Consider the following 26,837-nt stretch of genomic DNA (forward strand, 5'->3'; position numbering starts at 1 on the left):
AAAAAAACAATCTTCCAATATGCCAGGATTCCTCTACAATTTTACATCTAGTTTAACCCACACAATAACACAATTAACTGGTCCTATACACATTTTACAGATAAAACTGAGGCCTAAGAGGAATTTAAGTAACTTGCCTGGGAGTGATATAGCTTATAAGCAGAAAAGCTGGCATACAGAATTTAACTACTGGTTGTCCTCAGAAAGGAAATCATGGTGACTCTGAACCAACCTGTGTACGATAATCATGAGTATGCTAAACTCTCCTAGTTTCCTTTTTAAATCAAATTGCTAAATTGGTTGATGCCATAGATAACTGGTTTATGTACTTAAAATAAAACTCATTGAGATCTTTACCTGTATCTGAATATATAAAGAAGTTTCTAGTAGAACTACTCTGCTGGATAAGACAGAAGTTCAGAGATCTACCAGAATAACTATCCGTTCACCTTTGCAGAACTTCATAAAGCCCACTACCATAAACACAGGGTAAGGGGAGTTCAGCCAGGCATTTGATAAGGTCTTTTGTAATAATCTTGCAACTAAGGCTAGATGACAATCAGACCAATTAGTAGTATGTGGAACCACTGGTCCCTATTGATGTCAAACTAAAAGGAAGCCTCAGTCTTGTGGCAAGGGGCCCTGTCCTTGACCTTTTTGTATTGAAATATGTGACCAGTGACTTGGAGAAAATAATAATATTCCCATGTTTAGCTGATCACACAATTTTATACCAGTTCCTACACTTAGACGGTTGTATACATCCTCTTCTACTTTGTGGTTGAGAAGCTTCCTCTAGTAGAAGTGATGTCAATGGAATTCCAATAAGAGGTATGTTCTATTTAGACATTTAATCCATGAATTTGTATATATACATTATAAGTCATCTTTGGCAGTTCAGCCCTCAGCCAACAGAATCTCAGTTTCTCCATTTCTATCATTACTCCAGAAGGGTTCTTGGGTGTGGACTAGGCATTCTCGTTGGCATGCATTCAAGTTCTCCTCTGTAGCCACTGATCCTGTTGCCTCTATCCCACAGCTCTGGAATATCTCCAAATAACTACTCTTTTATTCTCCATGCAAATGAAAAATTCCATTAGGGTGATGTGAGGTTAGTTGTTGACATAACTTCCTGCTTCAAAAATCCTTCCTTCCTTCCCATCATCATTTGCGACCCCAGTTACAGCTCTGAATTGTGATTTCCATTTGTGACATATTGCCCCCGAAGAGACAGAAGAGGAACCTTCATCCGCCATCCCCATGTTAGAATCCTCTTCCTAGGCTCTCAGTGAAGTTGCCTCACTCGATCTCAAGCTGCCCGGCATGTCACATTCCATTTATTTCATTTAACTAAGATTTATTTAGCTTTATGCTATGCTAGGAACTGACAAGAAAATCATTATTACAATTAAATGAGATTTATTGAGTACTTACTTTATGCCAGAAACTGAGCTAAGAATGAGGAATAAAAAATGTATAAAGACACATTCCTTGCTCTCAAAAAATGTGAAGTTTAGAAAGATGGAGGTAGTAAGTAAATCAACTTCAATTCAGGGTAATAGATGCTAGTAGAGGCACCATGTGTGATGCTGTGAGACCTCAAAGAAAGAGTCTCTAAATCATCCTGAAGAGGAAGTCACATGAGGAGAGTCTTTAAGAATAAGTATGTCTGGCCTTGTCAATTAAAAGAGAGTTGGGAGTTCCAGGCAGAGTGTCAGCATGAATGAAGGCAAGAACGACTACTGGGATGAAGTGTGGGGAGCTGAGTTCATTTTGACATGGGAAAAGTGTAGAGGCTGGGTGCAGCGGCTCATACCTGTAATCCCAGCACTTTGGGAGGCTGAGGCAGGCAGATCACCTGAGGTCAGGAGTTTGAGACCAGCCTGGCTAACATGGCGAAACCCCGTCTCTACTAAAAACTACAAAAATTAGCCAGGTGTGGTGGCATGTGCCTGTAATCCCAGCTACTCGGGAGGCTGAGACAGGAGAATCACTTGAACCTGGGAGGTTGCAGTGAGCCGAGGTCGAGCCACTGCACTCCAGCCTGGACAACAGAGTGAGAGACTGTCTCAAAAAAAAAAAAAAAAAAGTAAAGAAAAGAAAAAGAAAACCGTAGAGCAGAAGGGAGATGGCAGGAAACAAGGTGGGAAGGGTAGGTTAGATTTGTATCATAGAATATTTTAGACTGTCTTATGAATTATGTGGGAGCCAAGGAAGGGTTTTAAGCTGAGGTATGGCAGGATCTGATTTGCATTTCAGAGGGATCACTTGTGGCAGCCATAATGAATTAAGATGGTAGAGAACAGACAAGAGGAAGGACGGACTGTTAAAGTGATGGGTAGTCATAGAAACAAAAAGTGGTGAGGGTCTGAGCTGGCCCCTGAAAACAGATGGGTTTGAAAGCTATTTAGGAGGTAAAATGGAAAGAATGTCATAGAAATTTAGATTTGGGGGTGAGGAAGAGGGAGGAGGTATAAGGGAACCTGGGTTTCTGGCTTGGACCAGTTGGCTGGACGTGGGTGTCACATGCAGGCTACTGCCTAAAAGCATAGGTGACTAGGAGAATGCTATTGGCCTCAATGTTGGAAATGTTGAGTTTGAGATGCTAGTGAAGCACACAGAGGATGCATATTAGTCAGTGGCCTGAACTTACAACTCCAGAAGAGCAGGCTGGGCTAGAGACCATAGTCTCTATATGGTCGTTACATATGGACGTCTTTATATGGATATCATCAGTATATCATGGCTGAAAACCAGGGTCTTGATGAAGTCACCCAGGGAGATGGTATAAGATGAACAGCATAGAGAACTAAGAATAAAACCATAGAAAAAAGTTCATTGTTGGTCTTTGTTGTCTTATTTGGTTTTGTTAAAATGGGGAATCTTGCAGATCTTTTAAATGCTGACAGAAAAGTTAAAGGAGAAAATTTGAAGATGCAAAGAGAACATATAAGTAATAATTTTCCTGGGAGCAGAAGGTATTTATTTATTCATTCATTCATTCAATAAGTACTGAGTGCCTCTAGCAGGCTGGGAATAAAAGGCCCCTTCCCTCATGCAGCTTACATTGTAGTGGTAAGGAGAGCCCCATAGGAAATAAATAAATGATAGGGTGTGTTAGAAGGTGACAGGTGCTACAGGGGAAAACAAGGCTGCATAATAAGGATGAGAGTGCTGGTGGAGAGCACAGTACATGTGAGATTTAAATAGTGATTAAGGAAGAATTTCCTGAGGAGGCAACAACAGTTCAAAGGCAATGAAAGAGAGAACCATGCAGATCTCCGGGGAAAGAACGCTTCTGGGGCAATCTGCTTTATTCAGTGTCTACTGATTAAATGTTAATCTCATCTAAAAAAAATACCTTCACGGAAGTATCTAGAATACTGTTTGACCAAATATCTGGGCCTAGTTGACAAATAAAATTAACCATCACAGAGGCCAACGACAGACGCAAGAAGACCAATTAAGAAGCTCTCGTGTTAACACAGTGGAGAGGTGTTGGTGGCTTGAGCCAGGATGTCACAATGGAGGCAGTGAGAAATGGTCAAAGCCTGGATGTCTTTGCAGGCAGCAGTCACTGTGCCAGGAGTCCAAAGATGACAAGAAATGATTCCTGTGGTCAAGGTCCTTACAGTCTGTAACAGTTATTAAAACCATAATTGCTTATTTGTTCATGGCATCTTCATTACCTTGATTATACCTTCCTGGTTCAAATCATATTTAACATCTATTCCAACAGAATGGCATTGGAACCTACCAGAAGACAGGACACCAGTCACTACACAGGACTGATGCATACTTATTCAGTCTCAGGTATGTCTTTATAGCAATGTGAGAACGGACTAATCCCTGCCTTTTCATTGTAATGACTGTCAATCCTTTTTTTTTTTTTTTTTTGAGATGTTGTTTTGCTCTTGCTGCCCAGGCTGGAGGACAATGGCGTGATCTCGGCTTACCGCAACCTCCACCTCCCAGGTTCAGGTGATTCTCCTGCCTCAGCCTCCGGAGTAGCTGGGATTACAGGTGCCCACCACCATGCCCGGCTAATTTTGTATTTTTAGTAGAGATGGGTTTTCTCCATGTTGGCCGGGCCAGTCTCAAACTCCTGACCTCAGGTGATCTGCCCACCTCGGCCTCCTAAAGTCTGGGATTACAGGCATAAGCCACTGTCAATCAATTTTTAAAAACAAACATTTTCTTCTCTGTACCTAGTATGAGACAATTTGAGTGTACTATGTCAGGTATTTGAGTGGAATATATAAAATCTATATGTTGTACAAGTGGAAAACATAAAAGCTATATGTTGTGCACATCCAGCCCTTCTCGTAGAATGTCTAGTACAGAGCCTAACCTTTGCTTACCTAAATCAGGGTTGTGCTGGTCTCATCACCATTCCCAGGAAGCTGGGTGCTGCCCTGTCTGTGGTGGGGCACAGAAACCCATTTACCTTCAGTATTCAGATAGTAGAGAAGATGGACCAAGTTGGACTTGGGAATCCCCATTCTGATTTTGAAGTCTAGGCTTGAGATGGGGACTAAGAGATGAGAAATGTTGTAAAGATGGAGACCAAGACTGCTGGAGAATTGAGTCAAACTGAGATAGAAGGCAGGACTTGACTCCAGAGGCTGGGCTCAGACACCGGACCAGATTGAGGACTAGCAAATACAGGGCCAGGGGCAGAAGCAGCTTTCTATCAGACAGCCCAGGAGTGTGCCATGTCAATTTACTATTGCCATGGCAACACCTGGGAGTTACTTCCCCTTTCCATGGCAAGACTCCAAAGTTACTACCCCTTCCCTAGAAATTTCTGCATAAACTGCCCCTTAATCTGTATGCAATTAAAATTGCGCATAAATATGACTGCAAGACTGCCCTGAACTGCTACTATCTGCCTATGGGGTAGCCCTGCTCTGCAGGCGCAGTTATGGAGCTGTAACACTGCTGCTTCAATAAAGCTGTTTTCTTCTACCTCCAGCTTGCCCTTGAATTCTTTCCTGGGCAAAGCTAAGTACCCTTGTGGCCTAAGCTCCACTTTGGGGCTTGCCTGCCCTGCATCAAAACCATGCTAATGTGGGGCAGGCTTTGAAAAAGCCTAGAGCCTGGAGTCTAGAAGGCCATTATTGGAGGTAGCTCTCTTTTATGCATCCTGCAAGCACTTCCACTGTGCATTCCAGATTCATTTAAAGGGACCCAGAGATATGCTTCTTAGACTTTCCACCAAAGCATCTCTCAAGCCAAAGGGAATAAACAGGTAGCTTCAAACAGTCTGCCTCATGCCTGGAATATATTTGAAATCTTTTTGTTTTATTTTAAAAATTACACGACTTTTGCATTCTACTTTGTAATATCACCATTGTTTTAATAACCCTTCCCCCCAAATTCTTGACATAAAATGAGCACTGCAGAAAAATGTTTCATATTCATTTTTGGCCTTATGTAATCCTTGGCACACAACTTGACCTAAGTCATGCCTAGCCCAGACTGAGAAGCATGAACCTACAGATGAATACTGAACCATTGATTGAATGTGTCATCATTCTTTTGAGACCTGGTAGTTTACAAGCCTAGAGCAGAGAAGGGAAGCTAGTAGGTGGCCAATAAATCATGGTTGAATGATATAGGTCTTCTCATGTTCTATTCTTAATCTAGGCATTTTCAAACACATGCTTTTCTTTCTCTAAAATCTTATTTCTCTTTATTTAAAATCAAACAAGGCTGGTTGCAATGGCTCATGCCTATAATCTCAGCACTTTGGGAGGCTGAGGTGGGCGAATCGTTTGAGCCCAGGAGTTTGAGACGAGCCTGGGCAACATGGGGAAACCCCGTTTCTATAAAAAATGCAAAAATTAGCTAGATGTGGTGGCACACAACTGTAGTCCCAGCTACTTGGGAGGCTGAGGTGAGAGGATCACTTGAGCCTGGGAGGTGGAGGCTGCAGTGATCCATCATTGTGCCACTGCACTCCAGCCTGGATGACAAAGGGAGACCCATCTAAAACAAACAAACAAACAAACAAACAAAACAAAACAAAACATTTTTTTGAACATGTATAAGGCACGGTCTGTAGTATTGGAGAATCCCAGGATGAATTAATTTGGATTCCATACTTACAATTTCGGCTTTCACCAATGACTTGAGAAGCTGCTAATAGGCTTCTCTGATAACCTATTTTATCTTCTTCTCTTTTGATCCTAATTCTGTTCTATGGATTGTATACTCTCAGATTTATTTTCATCGTATTTTGTTTTCATTAAGGGATGCTTGCAAAAAGTTTAGTTGGGGAGTGAAAAAATAACTCTTATGTATATCCAATATTAAAAGTTTCTTTTGAAAAAGTTTTTTTCTAGTAGGTCCTTTCTAACATGTCTTTTGAAAACAGTATAGGTTGGTTTTATGGCTATGTATGGGGATCTCATGAGAATGCCATTAAAATAAGCTTTTGCTGAGTTGGAGGATAAAAGGAAATGGGAAAAAATCCAAATGCATCCCATTATTACAAGAATGGTTCCCTCTACATTTAAGAAATTATTTTTCTGCAGTTCAGTGATTTGGAAAAACATGTATTTTCTAGTTTCCTAAGAATAAAATGAATTAAAACGACTTTAAATACTACATAGGACAAATTTTAATTTTCTACTGCATTCTATCATAGACTCTTTTCTTCTATATTTTATTTTATTTATATATTTTTTGAGACAGGGTCTCATTCTGTTGCCAGGCTGGAGTGCGGTGGTGCGATCACGGCTCACTGCAGCCTTGACCTCCCGGGGCTCAGGTGATCCTCCTACCTTAGCCTCCCAAGTAGCTGGGACTATAGGCTAATTTTTTTTTTCTTTTGGTAGAGATGGGGTTTCACCTTGTTGCTTAGGCTGTTCTCAAACTCCTGGGCTCAAGCGATCCTCCTGTCTTGGCCTCTCAAAGTGCTAAAATTATAGGCGGGAGCCACTGCGCCAGACCCATATTTTGTTATTTTGAGAGATTATTCTACTTCATAATTTGGAATGCATTTCTGATTTTCTTGTTGGAAATGGAAAAATGACTATTTTAGGTTGAATCCATTCTTAATTATCCCCTGATACTTCGTTTAGGACATTTCTGGATTACTTTTTCTCTTCCTGTTCCTTTTCTCTTTTTTTCCAGTCCTTTCATGACAGATAAATGTTGGTTGGATAAACCAAGGAGTTGGTACATATCCCAAGAATGCAAATTCATTTTGATATTAAATTTAAAAACATATTCCAAGGAAGGTAAATTCAACCCACCCACCCCCTACCTCAAACACTATGGGTGCTGGTTCCCATTCTCTCTTCTCTTGACCCATCCTCTGTAGCATGAGCATTAGCCACGTGTCAGAAGAGTTACAGTCACTAGAAAGCTACCTAGAAATCAGAATTCCCTCTTCTTTCAATTGTTTTTGAAAGTTAAGTCATCATAGGGCACACCTTCTGAAATCCACAGTCTGTAATGAATGTAAACACAGAATGTGCATTTGTGAACTGTGCCCCAAAGGGTTGGCTTTCTAGATTCCAAAAAAGGACAAACATTTTCAGATGTTGAATGCACAGTGATGTCAGACATCATTAGTGACAGCTCATTTCTGCATTTTGTGGTTGGACTCTAAACTATGTTATCCCAGAAGAAGTGTCTCCATCTTGCCCTGGATTTGGTGGGAGAAGGATCTGACACAGGGAGCTTTGCCCCTGAAAACAGCACTGTGGCAGCTGGAAATGACCTTATATGGTAGCTTCGCTTTACACTCCCTGTCCCAGAAAGATCCGTATGGAATGTGGTGACTTTTGATGCTGATAAGGACATTCCACAGGAGAATGCTGGGGTCGGGTAGACGAAGGATCCCTGTGAACGGTTACCCATTAACACTGGCTCTGGTTTCACACCAGTGAAGAGTGGCAGTCGGCATAGTTTTCATTAGTCAGACATTATAACCTGAGTTTGGCCTATTTTTCTTTGAAACATTTGGAATTGTCAAGCCAAAATGCATTTCCTATGGAGTGAGTGAGTTTGCCTCTGCCAGCCTTTCCATGTGATAGTTTATTATTATAGAGGTGACATGGGCACCCAGAGTCCCTGGCAAGCTATTGTTTTTCTTTGCTAAGAACAGCAGGAAGAGACAAAAAAAAGTCCTTCAGAAAATAATTTATCTAGACTTTTGCAAGGCAATGAGAAAATGAATTGCCATTAGGCTGAGCAATCTACCCTGTATCACTGAGGATAGAAAATGTCTCAGAAGGTCACTCATGTCTAAGAAGTTTCACGTGGATCTTGGTACAATTGTGGCTTAAAATGTGAAGTTCAGGCCAGGTGCAGTGGCTCACGTCTGTAATCCCAGCACTTTGGGGGGCCAAGGCAAGTGGATCACCTGAGGTCAGGAGTTGGAGACCAGCCTGACCAACATGGAGAAACCCCGTCTCTACTTAAAATACAAAAATTAGCTGGGTGTGGTGGCAGGCATCTGTAATCCCAGCTACTTGGGAGGCTGAGGCAGGAGAATCACTTGAACCTGGGAGGCGGAGGTTGCAGTGAGCTGAGTTTGCACCACTGCACTCCAGCCTGGGCAACAGAGTGAAACTCCATCTGAAAAAAAAAAAGAAAAAGTGAAGTTGTGAAGTTCAGGGGTTCAGAGAAAATCCCTTCCCCTCATAAGTGAGGAATGAAGAATGGAAGCACTCTGAGGACACTTCCATGCAGACAGTCAGATGGACACACCCAGTAGAGTGGCTTTGTAATATTGCACTGTCTATCATAGGACACTTCCCAGCTACCAGACACAGAGTTTCTCTTGGGCTCAGCCCAGTTTTTCATCTTTGTGTTGCCAGCACCACGGCACCCTGCACAGCACATAGCAGGTGTTCAAGCTTCCTCCCTTCCCCGTCTATCCTCCCCTTTCTCCCTCCCTTTCCCCCGCTTCCCTCAACCCTCATCTACGGAGTGCTTCTTATATCCCAGGCACTGTGCCCAAGCCTGGTGCATGGTGAATTTCAGCAACATGCATCTCCTAAATATTAAGAAAAAAAATCCCCCGACTAAGAACCTTTGGTTTTTAACCTCATTCTGTGCTATTTTCAGTAACTTCTGGTTTCCACACTAAAAAAATTTGCAGTCATTATTTATTGAGCATGATCTACAGACCAGGCCTAGTAATAGTCACCTAATTCATTAATTCACTTACCCATTCACAACTATTTATTGAGTACCTATTGCATGTTAAGTGCTGGAATTACAGCAGTGAATAAACACACAAAGACTCCTGAAGCTCATGAGTGTCCAATTACTTGCATTACCTGTATTAAAACTTATATTATTCATGATCCTCATGAAGCTTCCGGTGGGGTGAAGGGAGAGAAGCAATATGTAAGCAAACAATAAACATGTATGACATCAGGAGGTAATCAATAACATAAAAATGTAATGACACGGGGGCACTGGAGAGAACTACAGCAGGTCCTATGAAAGCTGGGGGAAAAGCATGATAGCCAGAGGGAACAACCGGTGCAAAGGCACTGGGGCAGAGAGCGCCTGTGTGTTCGGGATTGTGTTTTGGCTGGAGCAGAGGTGTTGAGGGGGAAGTGATCAGAGATGAGATCACACAGCTGGCAGGGGTGATGTCTCCTACAGTTTCATAAGCCACTCTAAGGACCTGGCTCTCCCTCTGAGTCAAATGGGAAGCCAGTAAAAAAATTTGAACAAAGCGGCTGGGCGCGGTGGCTCATGCCTGTAATCCCAGCACTTTGGGAGGCCAAGGCGGGTGGATCTTGAGGTCGGGATATCGAGACCATCCTGGCTAACACGGTGAAACCCCGTCTCTACTAAAAATACAAAAAATTAGCCAGGCTTGGTGGCAGGCGCCTGTAGTCCCAGCTACTTGGGAGGCTGAAGCAGGAGAACGGCGTGAACCCGGGAGGCAGAGCTTGCAGTGAGCCGAGATTGCGCCACTGCACTCCAGCCTGGGTGACAGAGCAAGACTCCATCTCAAAAAAAAAAAAAATTTGAACAAAGCTACGTGGGGCATGATCTACTGCACGGTACAGTGGTTAAGTCCTCGGGTCTTGGGCAAGGCTACTATTTTGGAATTATGCCTCTGTTTCTTGCTAGTTGTGTGACTGAGGTTAAGTTACTCAACTTCTGTGCACCTTCTGTGTGACAACCATACCTACCCCTTGAGTCGTTATAAGGGTTATATAAATTAATATTTGTAAAGTACATATTTGTTAAGTGTACAAAATGAATGGATTTTTAAAAATCACTTAAAATGTACTAGATAATTATGAACTGCTTTTGGACAATTAATCAAGTGACTTCCCTAAGGGCACAGATCATAGATGAACAGGTCAGGATCCACACCCAGGTCTATGTGACCCTGAAACCCATATTTTTAGCATACAGCGTGGCACCTGCCTCTTTCCTCTGCAATCTCAGCTGCTGGAGCCATCATTAATTAGATAGTAACAGGGTGTATTATGGGTTGTATTGTGTCCGCCCCAAAATTTATGTGTGGAAGTCCTAATACCCGGTACCTCAAAATGTGACCTTATATGGAGACAGGGAAATGTAATCAAGTTAACGAGGTCATTAGGATGGGCCCTAATCCAATATGACTGGTGTCCTTGTACAAAGAGGAAATTTATTTTTGTTTTTGTTTTTGTTTTTTCTTGGAGACAGAGTCTCGCTCTGTCACCCAGGCTGGAATGCAGTGGCACGATCTCAGCTCACTGCAACCTCCACCTCCTGATTTCAACCAATTCTCCTGCCTCAGCCTCCTGAGTAGCTGGGATTGCAGGTGCCCGCCACCACACCTGGCTAATTTTTTTGTATTTTAGTAGAGACAGGGTTTCACCATGTTGGCCAGGCCGGTCTTGAACTCCTGAACTCAGGCAATCCTCCCTCCTCAGCCTCTCAAAGTGCTGGGATTACAGGCGTGAGCTACAACACCCATCCAAAAGGGGAAATTTGAACACACACACACAGAGAAAGAGAGAGACAGAGAAAGAGAGAGAGAATGCCACATGAGGACTGGAGTTATGTTGCCACAAGCCAAGGAATTTTGAGAAGCTTGGAAAGAGGCCTGGAATAGCTCCTTCCCTGGCATCTTTAGAGGAAGCGTGGCCTTCCAAACACCTTGATTTTAGATTTCTAGGCTCCAGAACTGTGAAATAATACATTTATATTGTTTAAGCCAACCAGTCTGTGGTGCTTTGTTATGGCAGTCCTAGGGAACCAGAATGCTGTCTTTAGTTATCCTCAATATTTTATGCACTCAAAGAAGCCTTTGCCAAATGTCTAGTGAAGACACAGTGCTAGACTCCTTCCCTAGGGAAGGCAGCTGGGTTTTGTGCAGTTTCTATGTTGTCCAAACCCTTTGCCCCAGGAGTGGGTGAGAAGCTGCAGCAAGTCACTTACAATGAAGGGTGATTGCGAGTAGGAGTGATCACCTAGGTCTCTGATGTGTGCTAATTTCCTCCTGTAATTAACCTGTCAACACTGTCTGTTAATAAACCTAGGGGGTTGCCAACATTGATCAAATACAACACGAGGAAATTGGATCCTATGGAAAAAATGTCACATCAAAGTTTCAGAAGCATTTAAAAAAATCTGTTCTGATTCTGCTGAGTTTTTAAGTCAGACAAATCATTCCTGATGAGTTAAGATTGCTGGCACCTGGGTCGTCTGGTGAGGCACCTCGTTTTGATTGCCCGTTGCATAGTTTCATTTCAGCCTAAGATCTTAATTCCTGCAAATGATTTCCCTAGCATATATGATGAAAAGTAATGTGCCTGCTGAAGATGGATTTAACCATATTTAGCTATTGGAAAGACCTTGTCAGGAACCATCTTTATTCATTTTTTAAATGTTTGTATAGTGGCATATGAATGTTCAATAAATATAATTTTCATGATCACACAATATTTTCTCTTAACCTTGATCTCTTCTCCTAGATTATTTAAATTCCCTATGTTAATAATAGAAAAAAAGGACCTATAATTGCTATTGAATTCCTGCAGTTTACACACTGTGCTAGAAATACCTGTCAAATTTCCCTGTAACTGCTGTGAAACAGCCTCAGAAGCCAGCGGGGCCACCAGCAGAAGGTCTGATACCTTCTACCTCACAATTAATCTAGATTTGGCGGGGCATGGTGGCTCACACCTGTAAATCCGAGAACTTTGGGAGGCCAGGGCAAGGGGCTTACTTTAGTCCAGGAGTTCTAGACCAGCCTGGGCAATACAGCAAGAACAGTCTCTACAAAATAATAATAATAATAATAATAATTAGCCAGGTGTGGCGGTACATGACCGTGGTCTCAGCTTCTCTGGAGGCTGAGGTTGGAGGATTGTTTGAGCCCCAGGGGGTCAAGGCTGCAGTGAGCTGTGATCACACCACTGCACTCCAGCCTGAGACTCTGTCTCAAAAAAAAAAAAAAAAAATCTAGATTTATGGATCATGGATGTGGAAGAATCAGACCTTGCTTTGAATTCAGCTGTGTCACTCACTATACCAGTTTCAGAAATACCTTCTGAGGGCCATGCTCCCTAAAAATAATTTTAATAAAGAGTATAGACAGTTTACTTCTTAAAAAGCAATTTATTATCTGAAAGAAGGAAAGTTCATAGTGATTATTCTGGTCAATGCTTCATTCATGTTGATATTTCCATAGATAATAGTAGTTAATTTTTGGTAGTTGTTGATTTACATGTTTCATTAACTTAGCTACATGCCTTGTAGCACCTAACACCTCACCCTTTTTGAGCAATTTCTCAGGAAAAGATTGGTGATGACTTTGTTTTGTACAGCTGACTCATCACCCCAAACTCGCCCTGTGATGAGCCCTGGGAACCCTTGCAACCTTGATGACAGCAGTCAGGAAGTATATGCAGTTAAGCAATTCCCATAGAAGGGAAGTGAAGCAGTGGGTCACCTGATACTGGAGTCTCATAACCAGACTCGCGAAGTAGGAAGGAAGCCTCCTTGCAGGGCGGTTCCACCACAGTATGAGCGGCCACAGAAAAAGTTACCCTGAGTGTTCCGTGCTGCACCGCGTCACCCAGCCCCACATTCATATGTTGAAGTCCCAAACCCTAGTACTTCAGAGTATGATCGTATTTGGAGATGAGTCTTTAAAGAGATAATTCAGTTAAAATGGGATCCTGGGAGTGGGCTCTAATCCAGTTTAAATGGCGTCCTTAGAAGAAGAGGAGAGGGGGACACAGACACACACAGAGGGAATCCCATGTGAGGACATAGGGAGAAGGTGCCATCTACCAGCCAAGGAGGGAGGCTTCAGAATGAACCAGCTCTGCTGACACCTGATCTCAGACTCCTCCAAAACAGTGAGAAAATAAACTTCTGTGGCCTAAGGTGCACCATCTGTGATGTTTGTTACTGAAGCCCTATCTGACTAATACAGTGGGTGTTGCGTTTATGCAACCTTTTCCTTCATAGAATGCAGAGGGATTAATCTCCTACTTCTTGCCTGTTTTCCCTCAGCATTAGCCACTCTGGCCTCCTCGCTGTTCTGCACACGTGCCATTCCCTCTGCCTAGAACATATTTCTTTCAGATACCTTCCTGGCTCCTTCCTTTGGTTGCTTTAAGTCTGCTGGCATCTTGCCTTCTCGGCAGGTCTCCTCTGGCCACTTATTCAAAATTACAAACCATCCACCTCCTACCATCCCCCAGCACTCTTTATCCTCCTTGGTTTTAAAATTTTTCTCTATATCACAAGGTCAGGAGATCGAGACCATCCTGGCTAACACGGTGAAACCCTGTCTCTACTAAAAATGTAAAAAATTAGCCTGGTGTGGTGGCAGGAGCCTGTAATCCCAGCTACTTGGGAGGCTGAGGCAGGAGAATGGCGTGAACCCGGGAGGCGGAGCTTGCAGTGAGTCCAGATAGCACCGCTGCACTCCAGCCTGGGCGACAGAATGAGACTCCGTCTCAAAAAAACAAAAAATTTTTTTCTCTAGAGGGCTTATCACCTCCCAGCACCCTATATAATGTACTTATTTAAACATTTAACTTCTTCATTAGAATGTAAGCTCCATGAAGGCAGAAATTTTTGTCTGTTTTATTCACTGATATATGCCCCACAGTAGGGATAGTACAGGACATGTAGTAGGAACTCAAGAAGTATTTGTTGAATGAAAATATTAATAATAATCATCATAATACTTAATGTGAATTGAGCAATATGTGCCAGATACTAAGTGCTTTACGTGTATTGGTTCATTATACATGCATAGATACACTTAATGTAGTATAGCTTAATTAATTATGTTAATTAATATATGAATTACTTCATGGTTAAAATAAAAATATTCCTGTGTGGTTAAAAAATGTTTGATTTCTTTCCTCTTTGTTATATATTGTGGGAGTGAAGGAACTCCTCTAAAAGCAGAGTAGGCAGTGATAAAGCTTGTAGGGAAACTTTGATTCAGGACAAAGAAAGATTTGTCTTTTCAGAAAGGTGGTTATATAGCCGGGTGTAGTGGTGGGCGCTTGTAAGCCCAGCTACTCGGAGAATCGCTTGAACCTAGGAGATGGAGGTTGCAGTGAACCAGGATCGTGCCACTGCACTCCAGTCTGGGCAACAGAGCCAGACTCTGTCTTAAAAAAAAAAAAGAAAAAGGAGTTTATGGTACATGTGAACTAGTATTTACTAGTTACCAATGATTCAGTCCTTACCCTGTGGGAGGCACAATCCCTTCCTCAGCCAACCAGGGAAGGAATGGATAAAACAATCTGCAAGGTAGAAAGTGCAGAAATGAAATGCAAAGACTGGATTACAAAGCACGTTATGCCTCCGTCCAAACACTCCCTACGTTTCTCACCATAGCCTTCAAGATAAGAAAGAGCTTTTGATTCGCTGGTATAATTTTGAAGCAGATAATTTCTTGAAAATATTCGATTTTAATCTTGGTTGCTTTTGTGTTTTGTGATCCTTATTGATTACCTATTTCAGCATAGTTAGAGTAGTTTAAAGTTGCTAGGGTCAATTATAATGTAAAAGCCATCAATAATGCTGTTAGATGTTTTAAAAAAATAGAAAAAAATCTAGTGAAAAGCTATGATTTGAAAGTATAACAGCTGTGAAATTGCTACCTTTCCTCCTTCTGCTCATTCATCATCTCCCGGCTTGCAGTATGTTGGAGACAGCGTCTGGGGACTGAATTGAATAATTTGAAGGGGGGAAATGATACACCTTTGTAAATTAAACACAACTGCCAGGAAGATTGATTAAATACAACTTAACTGAAACCTCATTATAGATTCAGATGAAGTTCCTCATCAGTCTTTCTACAGAAAAAAAGAAGAAACAGCTCCCAAATCTGGATGTGGTTTCCCCTGGAATAGATCTCACTTTTTAAGAAGTTTTCCTTCTGTGGTGTTAAAAAAAATCATTTTTTTTTTCTGCTGCTGTTTTAGAAATCCTGAAAAGTCATAATGCCCGATAAATGAATGCCCCATTTATGAGTCACATTTACTTTTACATATATATGTGGGAGACTCCCTAGAGGTGTATCTGAAGATTACTAATGGAAAATCTTGATTTATTAACTCAGGGGAAGCTACATAGACTGTCTCCAAGAGTTCTGTACTCCTCTCTCTTATAAGAGTACTTTGAGGCCGGGCGCGGTGGCTCACGCCTGTGATCCCAGCACTTTGGGAGGCTGAGGCGGGCGGATCACGAGGTCAGGAGATTGAGACCATCCTGGCTAACACGGTGAAACCCCGTCTCTACTAAAAATACAAAAAAATTAGCCGGGCGTGGTGGCAGGTGCCTGTAGTCCCAGCTACTCCGGAGGCTGAGGCAGGAGAATGGCGTGAACCCGGGAGGCGGAGCTTGCAGTGAGCCGAGATCGCGCCACTGCACTCCAGCCTGGGTGACAGAGCGAGACTCTGTCTCAAAAAAAAAAAAAAAGAAAAAGAAAAAAGAGTACTTTGAATAATTTTCCCTCACCACTTTCCATCATATATATATGTATATATATATACACACACACACACCCACACAACATAAACATAGATATTTATGTATACACATACATATATTTATATAAACACATATGTATATTCATACATACATCCATGTGTGTGTCTATATATTTAGTATTGCCCGATTTTGAAAACTAAAAATGATGCATTTTCACCATAAAGAAATATCATGTAATGCAGGAAAGAGCAAAGAAGAAACTAACAAATCCCACAAAATCACATCTCCCCAAGGAAAAAAAATTAGTTTGGTCCATGGTGAACATCATTCTAGATGTCACTTTAAGCCTATATTGCAAAGTAAAATGCTTTCAGGAGTCAAGAGGAACTTCCGTGGTTGAGACTGATGTGAGGAGACTCATTCAATCCTCTCAGTCTACCTTGAGCCTTTCCACATGGTATGGAGAAATATTTCTGTACCCTAAAAAAAATTTTTTTTAAACTACAGGGCAAGCAAGATGATATATAGCAACCAATGCTTTCCTTGTTGGGAGAACAATAAGAGTGATGGCACCTCTGGCAAACTGAAGAAGACATGCCCCGTCCGGAGGGCACAGGTATTTCTCAGGTAAAGTAGGTGATTGCCAAGTGGCAATGTGGTCCCAGTGTTGTCAGAACTTCTGTTCTGCTAGAAGTGAGACATTTGACTTCGTACTAGAAACTTTCTAATTTAAAAATATTTTCTCAAAATTGTTTAAAGACTCTATGTGGTGGCTCACCCTTTTAATCCCAGCACTTTGGGAGGCCAAGGCAAGAGGATTGCATGAGCTCGGGAGCTCAAGACCAGCCTGTGCAACATAGTGAGATTGCATCTCTACAAAAAATACAAAAATTATCCAGTGGTGGTGGTGCAGTAGCCTGTATCCAGCTACTCAGGAGGCTGAGGTGGGAGGATGGCTTGAGCCCAAGAGGTGGAGGTTGCAGTGAGCCAAGATTGTCCCACTGCACTCCAGCCTGGGTGACAGAGCCAGACTTTCTCTCTAAAAAAAAAAAAAAAAAAAAAAATTGTTTAAAAGTGCTGCAACGTAGCCTACTCACTGCTATTTGTTAGGGACAGTTAGATAAATGGATGGGTAGAAAGATCTATAGATAAATAACCAGCAAGTCAAATGATTATTTAAAAATAAAGTAATTCTATAGAAGCTACTTACTTTTTAAAAATCACAATAGATCTATATATAAATAACCAGCAAGTCAAATGATTGTTTAAAAATAAAATAATTCTATAGAAGCTACTTACTTTTAAAAAAAAATCACAATTTTACTTAAACTTGATAGAAGAAAAACAGGCCAGGTGTGGTGGCTCACGCCTGTAATCCCAGCACTTTGGGAGGCCAAGGCGGGCAGATCACGAGGTCAGGAGATCGAGACCATCCTGGCTAACATGCTGAAACCCCATCTCTACTACAAATACAAAAAATTACCCAGTGTGGTGGCACGTGCCTGTAGTCCCAGCTACTCAGGAGGCTGAGGCAGGAGAGTCACTTGAACCTGGGAGGCAGAGGTTGCAGTGAGCTGAGATTGCACCACTGCACTCCTGCCTGGGTGACAAAGCAAGACTCTGTCTCAAAAAAAAAAAAAAAAAAGAAAGAAAAAGAAACTGACATTAAACTGAAAGAGTTGCTAAACTTCATTAAGCATTTCTTCACCATCAAAGAGTCTTCTAAACTTAAGAAAATTATTGTGGAAAACATTATGAGATTGGAGACTTAATTATTACAATAAATGATCACTGTATTTTTAACTACAGGTATATGCTTTAGTTTAAGACTATACAGATTGACTTCCTACTTTTAGAAGATTTCTACTCCTTAAATAATTTTTCCTTGGTTTGTCCCAAGACTATCTTATCAGCCTTAGTCCACTTTTCTCAGAATGGTAGGGAATTATGAGAATCTCATAATGTGAAGTGGTCTTCCTTCCTTAGTACTTCTTCCGGAGGCGGAACCATAGCACTTCTGAATCTTCTGTTTCTTTTCATAGACTGTACTCTTTGATGTTTATGGAATAATGCTATGCCCTTTCCTTATTTGGTTGTTGCTAGAGAATTTTTTGCATTCTTAAAAACCACTTTTCAGCCAGGTGCAGTGGCTCATGCCTGTAATCCCAGCACTTTGGGAGGCTGAGGTGGGAGGACTGCTTGAGCTCAGGAGTTTGAGACCAGCCTAGCAGATCCCCGTCTCTACAAAAAATATAAAAATTAGCCAGGTGTGGCGGTGTGTGCCTGTAATCCCAGCTACTTGGGAGGCTGAGGTGGGAGGATTACTTGGGCCCAGGGTGTCAAGGCTGCAGTGAGCTGTGATTGTGCCACTGCCCTCCAGCCTGGGTGACAGAGTGAGAACCTGTCTCAAATAAATAAAGAAATTAAATAAAACAATTTTTCATATAGAGGTATCAAAGCAAGTGGTTTTTATAATCCTACAAGATTTTGCTGTATTTATCTAGAAACTTTTCTCAACTATCTTTAAAGCTAGTGTAATATTTACCAAGAAACTGTTATATGCAATCAATATTTATCATACCAGATAGTGTGACTCATAAAGTTTATTTTCAAGCACTTGTGGGTGTATCATTAATTTAGCAATCATATACTATCCTATATCATGCGGCTGTAATTACATGTCTGCATAGCCATATATACTATATATCAATTTCCTGGGTTATTCGACAGTGGTGCCCCCAGTTACGTTTTTAAAATTTAATGTATTTTACGACTAAAATAGATCTTATAGATCAGTCAACTCTCATCTTACAGATGATGCAATTGAAGCTCAGAGATCAATTTGAAAAGCTTTTAAGTCCTTCAAGGGACTGGAAATCACTCAAGCTTTTTGTACCCTCACTCCTTTTTTCATCTCTGGTGTGTAGAACCACACCTTGTGTGATTACAGATAGATCAAGCCCAATAAGAAATCTGCTGCCCTAAACTCCAGTATTGAGAGGCTGCTGGCGGTAAGTGAAGAGGCTTTCCACATTTTCAAACCAACCTTCCTGCCCATGACTTCATAAGCCTATGGATGCTGCTTACCTGTGTGTTAAGGTGTGGTAGGTGCCGGCCTTCATGGTCGGTGAAAATGTGTCTGTATTAGTCCGTTTTCATGCTGCTGATAAAGACAAAGCTGAGACTGCACAATTTACAAAAGAAAGAAGTTTAATTGGAAAATTAAACTTTTCCAATTGTGGCGGGGAAACCTCACAATCATGGCAGAAGGCAAGCAGGAGCAAGTCACGTCTTACATGAATGGCATCAGGCAAAGAAAGTGAGCTTGTGCAGGGGAACTCCTCTTTTTAAAACCATCGGATCTCATGAGACTATCACGAGAAAAGCATGGGAAAGACTTGCCCCCATGATTCAATTACCTCCCACTGGGTCCCTCCCACAACACATGGGAATTCAAGATGAGATTTGGGTGGGGGGACACAGCCAAACCATATCAGTATCTATCTCCAGATTTTGTAGTAAAATATAGATTCAGGGAATAGAGCTTCAGAAACAAAGTACCCCTTGATTTACAACTACCTATTTTTTTTTTTTTTTTTTTTGAGACAGGGTCTCACTCTCTCATCCAGGCTAGAGTGCAGTGGCATGATCATAGCTCACTGCAGCCTCAACCTCCTAGGCTCAAACAATCCTCCCACCTCAGCCTCTCAAGTAGCTTGGACTACAGGCACATGCCACCATGTCCGGCTAATTTTTGTGTTTTTTGTAGAGAAGGGGTTTCACCATGTTGCCCAGGCATCTTAAACTCTTGGACTCTAGTGATCCACCCAACTCAGCCTCCCAAATTGCAGGTATTACGGGTATAAGCCACCATACCCAGCCGTGACTACCTGATTAAGAGAATTTCCCAATCTAGAAAGCTTTATCACCATTTGGAGATCAGAAGTCTGGATGAAAGAAAAGAACTACCTTATTTATCCCTCTGAGCATTTTATTTTATATAATATGCTTTTTAAAATATATTTTGACCAGATGCTCCCTCCTGCACCAACCCCTCCTCGCCACCAACACACATACATGCTCTTGTGTGTGGGATTTGTTGTTGTCGTTGTTGTTGTTTGGCTTTTGGCTTTTGTAAAAATAGGTGCTGTGGTCAGTACAAATAATCCAGTGGTCTTTCACTCATCACATTGACTCCTCACTCTCCATTCAAGATGCTTTCATCTGACATTTAAAATTGTAGGCATAAGCATCCCAGCACTTTGGGAGGCTGAGGCGAGCAGATCACGAGGTCAGGAGATCGAGACCATCCTGGCTAACATGGTGAAACCCCGTCTGTACTAAAAATAATACAAAAAATTAGCCTGGCCTGGTGATGGGCACCTGTAGTCCCAGCTACTCAGGAGGCTGAGGCAGGAGAATGGTGTGAACCCAGGAGGCGGAGCTTGCAGTGAGCCAAGATCATGCCACTGCACACTCCAGCCTGGGTGACAGAGCGAGACTCTGTCTCAAAAAAAAAAAAAAAAAAAAATCGTAGGCATAAGCATGCAGGTGACAGTCAGCCGTACCATCACATCCACATGTAACTATTTCCCTCATGGGAAGTAAATAACTTCTGAGTTTTTACTAAAGGACACAATGGTCCAATAGATGTGTGTGTCTGTGTGTGTGTCTGTGTGTGTGTGGAACAATGTTCAACCAACCCTTGATACTTTACACTGAAGAAAAATTAAAAAGAGACCTAGAATGAAGAGGATTATCAATAATTTATTGAAGAAATTCTGTTCATTTTGATAAACATTCATTGTCAATTTATTTTACATTAGGAATAGTGCTATACTTCTAGCCCTGTTACTCACATCCTTCAGCATCTACATAAATTATCCATCCAAAACCCTGGCTTCCCAGTTCCCAGACCCCTTTATGCCCACTCATTTTTTTCTCCACCACACCTTTGCTATATATTCTCAAGGCTTTTCAATATCTGTAACTACACCACCTCAGCAATCCCCATTTTAAGTGCCCTGTCTCTGATTACAGCCTCCAGGCTTTCCCTAATATGCCCACTCCAACACTATCTTGACTTCCCAGATACTGCCAATCCATTGGCATTATTTTAAAACATCATTATTATTTTGAAATATGTCAAGAATCATTTCACACATACAAACAATATAAAGAATAACACAGCAGTCATATATCTACTATCTAACTATAGATATAAAATATTACCAAGAGCATTAAACCCCATTACATAGCCTTCCCAACTACATCCCCTAGATAACTACTATCTAAACTTTGTATTAATAACTACCATTCTCACTCATTAATTTTTTTCTTTTATCTCTCTACAAAATACTGTTTCGTTTTGCATGCTTTTAAACTTATAATTACTGGGATCATACAGACTGTATTCCTTTATGACTTCCTTTTATTTTCTCTTGATGGAATGTGAGAGTCGTCCCTGCTGGCCTGCAGCACTAGTTCATCATTTTCACTTCCACGTGTTATTATACGGTGTGAATATACCATCATTATTTAAAACACATGTTTCTGTTGATGGGCATTTGGTTCTCCCATTTGTTTGTTTTCAATTTCAAACGATGCTACAGTGAACATTTTTGAACACCTCCCTGTGCACAGATAAATGTGTTTTTTTTCTGGAAGACATGGCCATGCCACGGGCATACTTATTTTCATCTTAACTGGTGCTGTCAGATTATTTCCTGTGAATTCCCACCTTTTCCCCTTCAAGCAGCTCACGTCCTTGCTTCTTTTCTTGCCCAGGTTAGATTCCCTGAAGCATCACTAAGTGATTCCTTTCCATATATTGTGGCCACCTGACCTTCCCTCTTTCACTGAGCCTTCCTAGCAAAGCCCCGTCTTTGGCTTAATCCAATTCTTATTATTCTGAACTGAATGTAGAGAATAACAGAGCTCTGCTGACTGATCCGCTGCACCCATGCGACCTCATGGGTGCCCTTACTTCTACCAGGCAGTCCCAGCTCATTCCCTAAACAATTCTCTTTCCCAGACAACTGTTCACACCTTTCTCCTCCAACTTCTGTCTTCACTCTCAAATGATGACCGTTTCCCCTTCTTTTACAATACTATAAAAAGCAACCCGAGGAGAACTTTCATGTCTTCCCACCTCCTGATCAGTCAGCCTGCTGCCGGTGACCCTCTGCCGTCCCACCTGCCACAAAAGGGGAACTGTCTCTGATCCTGTCTAAAGCCAACCCCTCTTCTGAACACTGGGTTCCATCTGTCTGACACCGCTAAAGGTTTTTCTACTCTAATTTTCTCCACTGCTCCCATATCACTATTTCCTCCCTTTCTTCAGGATCTGTCATTAGCATACAGACATGCTCTAATATTTCCCGTCTTAAAATAAAAATGTCCTATCCTCCTGTCTTCCACTTCCTCATGTATCTGCTTTGTTGTATGGTGAGCTCATCAAGAGTTATCTATACCGATTGTCTCTATTTCCTCATTCCTATCTGAGTTTTGACACACTCAGTGAAACCGCCATTGCCAAGCCATTGATAACCTCCATGTTACCAAATCCAATGATCAGCTCTCAGTTCTTATCAACTTTACAGCAACAGTTGAGCCAGCAACCTCTGAATGTTCAGAGAGGCTGTAGCTCTGTTGCTGACCAATTCAAACTGGTCTGCAATTTGAGTTGAATCCTGGGAGTTGAGCCTTGAATCTGCAGCTCCACCTGATTTTCTTCACTAGGCTTCCAAGGCACTTTTCCTGTTATCCTCTCCCTGCCTTTGCCTCCCCACTGCGGCTTCTTCTCTGTTTCCTTTTCTGGATCTTCTTTTCCTTCCTGGCCTCTAAATGTTTGAGTACCCCTAGGTACAGACCTCGCTTCTCGATCTACAGTCCACCGCCTGAAGCTCTCATCTGCCCCATAGCTTTGAATACCATGAATATGCTGGTAACTCCCAAAAGCATATCAACAATCCCCTTTAAGGGACACTGATATGCACCCCTGTTTATACTCCACATCTTTACTTGGATATCAATGGGCATGCGTACCAAACAGGATTCTAGGTTCTTCCCTCCTGTTTGTCCACAAATAGCTCTACCCTCCACCTAGTTTCCCAGACCACAAACCTGGGAGTCATCCTTGATTCCTCTTTTTATCTCACATCCCACAACCAATCTGTTAGCGTGTCTTGTCATCCCAAATTAGCATATGTCCCCTGACTCTGACCCATTTTCAGAACCTTCCCTACCAGCATCCTAGTCCAAGCCACTTTCCCTCTCCCAAGCTACTGCAGCAGCCTCCTAAAGATCTCCCTGCCTCCATTCTTGACCCTACACAGCATGCTTACAGAAAATCAGGCCAGTCTTTTCTTGTTTCCTTTCATCTTCCGAAATATTTATTGAGGTATAACATATGTTCCGTAAGGGGTTCAAATCTTAATGTTCAACTCAGTTTTTACAGATGCATTTGCTTTGGTCTGATGTTGGTGTCCCCTCCTCAAAATACATATGTTGAAACCTAAACCCAACACAATAGTATTTTTTTTTTTTTTTTTTTGAGACAGAGTGTCACTCTGTTGCCCACGCTGGAGTGCAGTGGCACAGTCTTGGCTCACTGCAGCCTCCACCTCCCAGGTTCAAGCAATTCTCCTGCTTCAGCCTCTGGAGTATCTGGGATTACAGGCATGCACCACTGTGCCCATGTAATTTTTGTATTTTTAGTAGAGACGGGGTTTCACCATGTTGGCCAGGCTGGTCTTTAAGTCCTGACCTCAGGCGATCTGCCTGCCTTAGCCTCCCAAAGTGCTGGGATTACAGGCGTGAGCCACCAAGCCCGGCCCCCAGTGCAATAGTATTAAGAGGTGAGGTCTTAGGGGATGATTAGATCATGAGAGCAAAGCCCTCTTGAATGAGATTAATGCCCTTATAAAAGAGGTTAGACGAAGCTTACCTCCCCTTTCACTCTTCCACCATGCTAGGATACAGCTAGAAGGCTCTATCTATGAAGGCAACATCCATGTCTGCCCTTACCAGACACCTAATCTGCTGGCACCTTGATCTCGAACTTCCAAGACTTCAGAACTATAAGCATTACATTTCTGTTGTTTATAAATTATGCAGTCCAAGGCATTTTGTTATAGTGCCCAAACGAATGAAGACATTGTATGTGGAACATCTGTGAGGATATAGACCACTTCTAGCACCCCAGAAACCTCAACCATGACCTCTCCCAGTCTATAACTCCCAAATGTAACAAATGTGACTTCTATCATGATAGATGACCTCCACTTTTTTGAACTTCGTATGAATGGAGAAATACTGAATGTATTCTTTCATATTTGGTTTCTTTCATCTCTTCATTAGGTCTGAAAAAAATTTCTTCTCTTGTATTTAGCTGTACCTTGTGATTTTTCTTTGCTGTTATCTTCCATTGTATGAATATACCACAATTTATTTATCCTTTGTAAAGTTAAAGAACATTTGGTCTATTTTTTAGCTTGGGGCTATTATGAGTAAATATGCTATGAATGCTCTTGTACACGATTTTTAGTGAACAGAAGCTGTTATTTCTTTGGGGTATATTTTTCAAATTTTTCTATTTATTTTTAGCTTTATTTATTTATTTATTTAGAGATGGGGGTCTCATTTTATTGCCCACGCTGGTCTCAAACTCCTGGCCTCAAGTGATCCTTCCATCTCTGCCTCCCCAAGTGCTGGGATTACAGGTGTGAGCCACTGAACCTGGCCTCTTTGGGGGTATATTTATTTGCAGGAGTGGAACTGCTTGGTCAAAAGAATATGTGTGGGCCAGGCGTGGTGGCTCACGCCTGTAATCCCAGCACTTTGGGAGGTTGAGACAGGCGGATCACTTGAGATCAGGAGTTTGAGATCAGCACGGCCAGCATGGTGAAACCCCAACTCCACTAAAAATAAATAAATAAATAAAAATAAAACAAAGCAAAAAACAAAAATTAGCCAGGTGTGGTGGCAGGTGCCTGTAATCCCAGCTACTTGGTATGCTGAGAGGCAGGAGAATCACTTGAACCCGGGGAGTGGAGGTTTCAGTGAGCCGAGATCACGCCACTGCACTCCAGCCTGGATGATAGAGTGAAACTCCATCTCAAAAAATAAAAATAATTAAAAAAATTTTAAAGTATATGTGCATTCAGCTTTAGTAGATACTGTCAATCCATTTTCCCAAGTGGCTTTATTGACTCATATTCCCACATAAGATACGAAGATTCTGGTTCCTTTACATCTTCACCAACACTTTTATTTTAGCCATTCTTCAGTGTCGTAGTCATTTTTTAACATAAAAATCAAAGCACAAACTGTCTCCTGACTACAATTTCCCAGGGCTCCTCCTGGCACTTCTCTGGGCCATCCTTCCCTTTTCATCCCTCCCCCTCATTGTCCTGCTCCCTCACTCCATTCACCAGGACTGTTTCCACCTCTGGATATTTTCTCTCCGTTTTCCTAAGCCTGGTGTGCCCTTTTCCCAGACATCGAAGTCCTTTGCTCTCTCATTTTCTTGAATTCCCTTCTCAAATGATACCTCCTTAGAGAGATCTTTGCCTCCTGCCATGCTCCTATTGCACCCTATCTTTTTACTCTGATTTCCCTTCACAGTACTTATCGGTTGTTGACCTTACGTCATACACTTGTTTATTTGTTTATTCTTGGTTTCCCTTGGTAGAATGCACACTCTATGAAAGCAGGAAAGTTGTCTTTCTTGATCATCTCTGCATATTCGGCGTTCAGTGCCCGGCAGAGGGCCTGGCACTTAGCAGGCTCTCAGATGTTTGGTACAAGAGTTCTCTATCTGAGCGAATTCTTTCTCCCCAGCAATTTTATCCCATCACTTACACTTATAATCATGTTCTCCTCTTTTCTTTCATCCAATCTTCATTTTTTTTCTATTCACTTCTCTTCTACCTTCTCTTTCCTTTCTCCTACTCTATTTCATTATTCATAGGAGGCTTTGGAATTACAGAGACGGCGGGGCCTCAGGTTGGATGCTGAACATTAAAGCTCTAAATTGCAGGGCAGCAGGCAAGGGAAAAAGCAGAGCTAACACTTCTTTTGCAACGTTAAAAATGCATTATGACAGGCCTGGTGGCTCATGCCTGTAATCCCAGTGCTTTGAGAGGCCAAGGCAGGAAGATTGCTTGAGCGCAGAAGTTCAAGACCAGCCTGGGCAACATGGCAAAACCCCACCTCTACTAAAATTACAAAAATTAGCCGGGTGTGGTGGTGCATACCTGTAGTTTCAGCTACTTGGAAGCTGAGGTGGGAGGACTACCCGAGCCAGAGAGACTGCAGTGAGCAGAGATAGCGCCACTGCACTCCAGCCTGGGCGACAGAGCGAGACTCCACACCCCTCCCTGCAAAAATGCATTATCATACTCTACACTTTATCTTGAATTTAGCTGAAGGCTTTCATAGAAATTCTCCTCTCTGTTTCTCTATCCCTCTGCCTCTTTCCTTTTCTCTACACCTCCAACTAGACATTTCACAGACAAATCTCTGGAGTAGAGTCCATTCTATGTAACAGCAAGCCCCTCATGCTGTTGGTCACAAAACCACACTGTCAGAGCCAGAGACAGCTGTAAACCCTGCTCTCCCAGATGGAGAGCAGCCGGAGCCGGGATTTTGGTAGAGGGAGTTGGGAATACATTAGGGAAAGTCTAATGAGAACAAAAGAGGCAGCTGAATATTCCCCACTCCACCTTAGTGTGCAAGAGGGCAGCAGTCCAGATTTTTCATGGCGTTGGGGTCTGGCAGGGTCGTTAGTCTCTATCCAACAAGCATTAGAAAGAAACAGAAAATAACATATATCTGGGGGTGTGCCTGCCTGCCTCTGTCTTGTGCAAACAACAATAACTGGAAAACAC

The 26,837-nt window shown here is 42.0% G+C and overlaps 1 protein-coding gene across 3 annotated transcripts in view; it reads left to right on the forward strand.

The window, feature by feature from the left end:
* Positions 1-16,567, forward strand: part of HIVEP1 (HIVEP zinc finger 1) — a 204,356-nt gene extending 187,789 nt beyond the window's left edge. For all 3 annotated transcript variants that reach the window (XR_007059258.1, XR_007059259.1, XR_007059260.1), the window contains 2 exons: positions 3,740-3,813; positions 16,453-16,567. The gene's annotated coding sequence lies outside the window, so the exon portion shown is untranslated. The remainder of the gene's footprint in view (positions 1-3,739; positions 3,814-16,452) is intronic.
* Positions 16,568-26,837: the final 10,270 nt, after the last annotated feature.

The sequence above is a fragment of the Homo sapiens genome, chromosome 6 (genome assembly GCF_000001405.40).
Source record: "Homo sapiens chromosome 6, GRCh38.p14 Primary Assembly".
Taxonomy (NCBI): domain Eukaryota; kingdom Metazoa; phylum Chordata; class Mammalia; order Primates; family Hominidae; genus Homo; species Homo sapiens.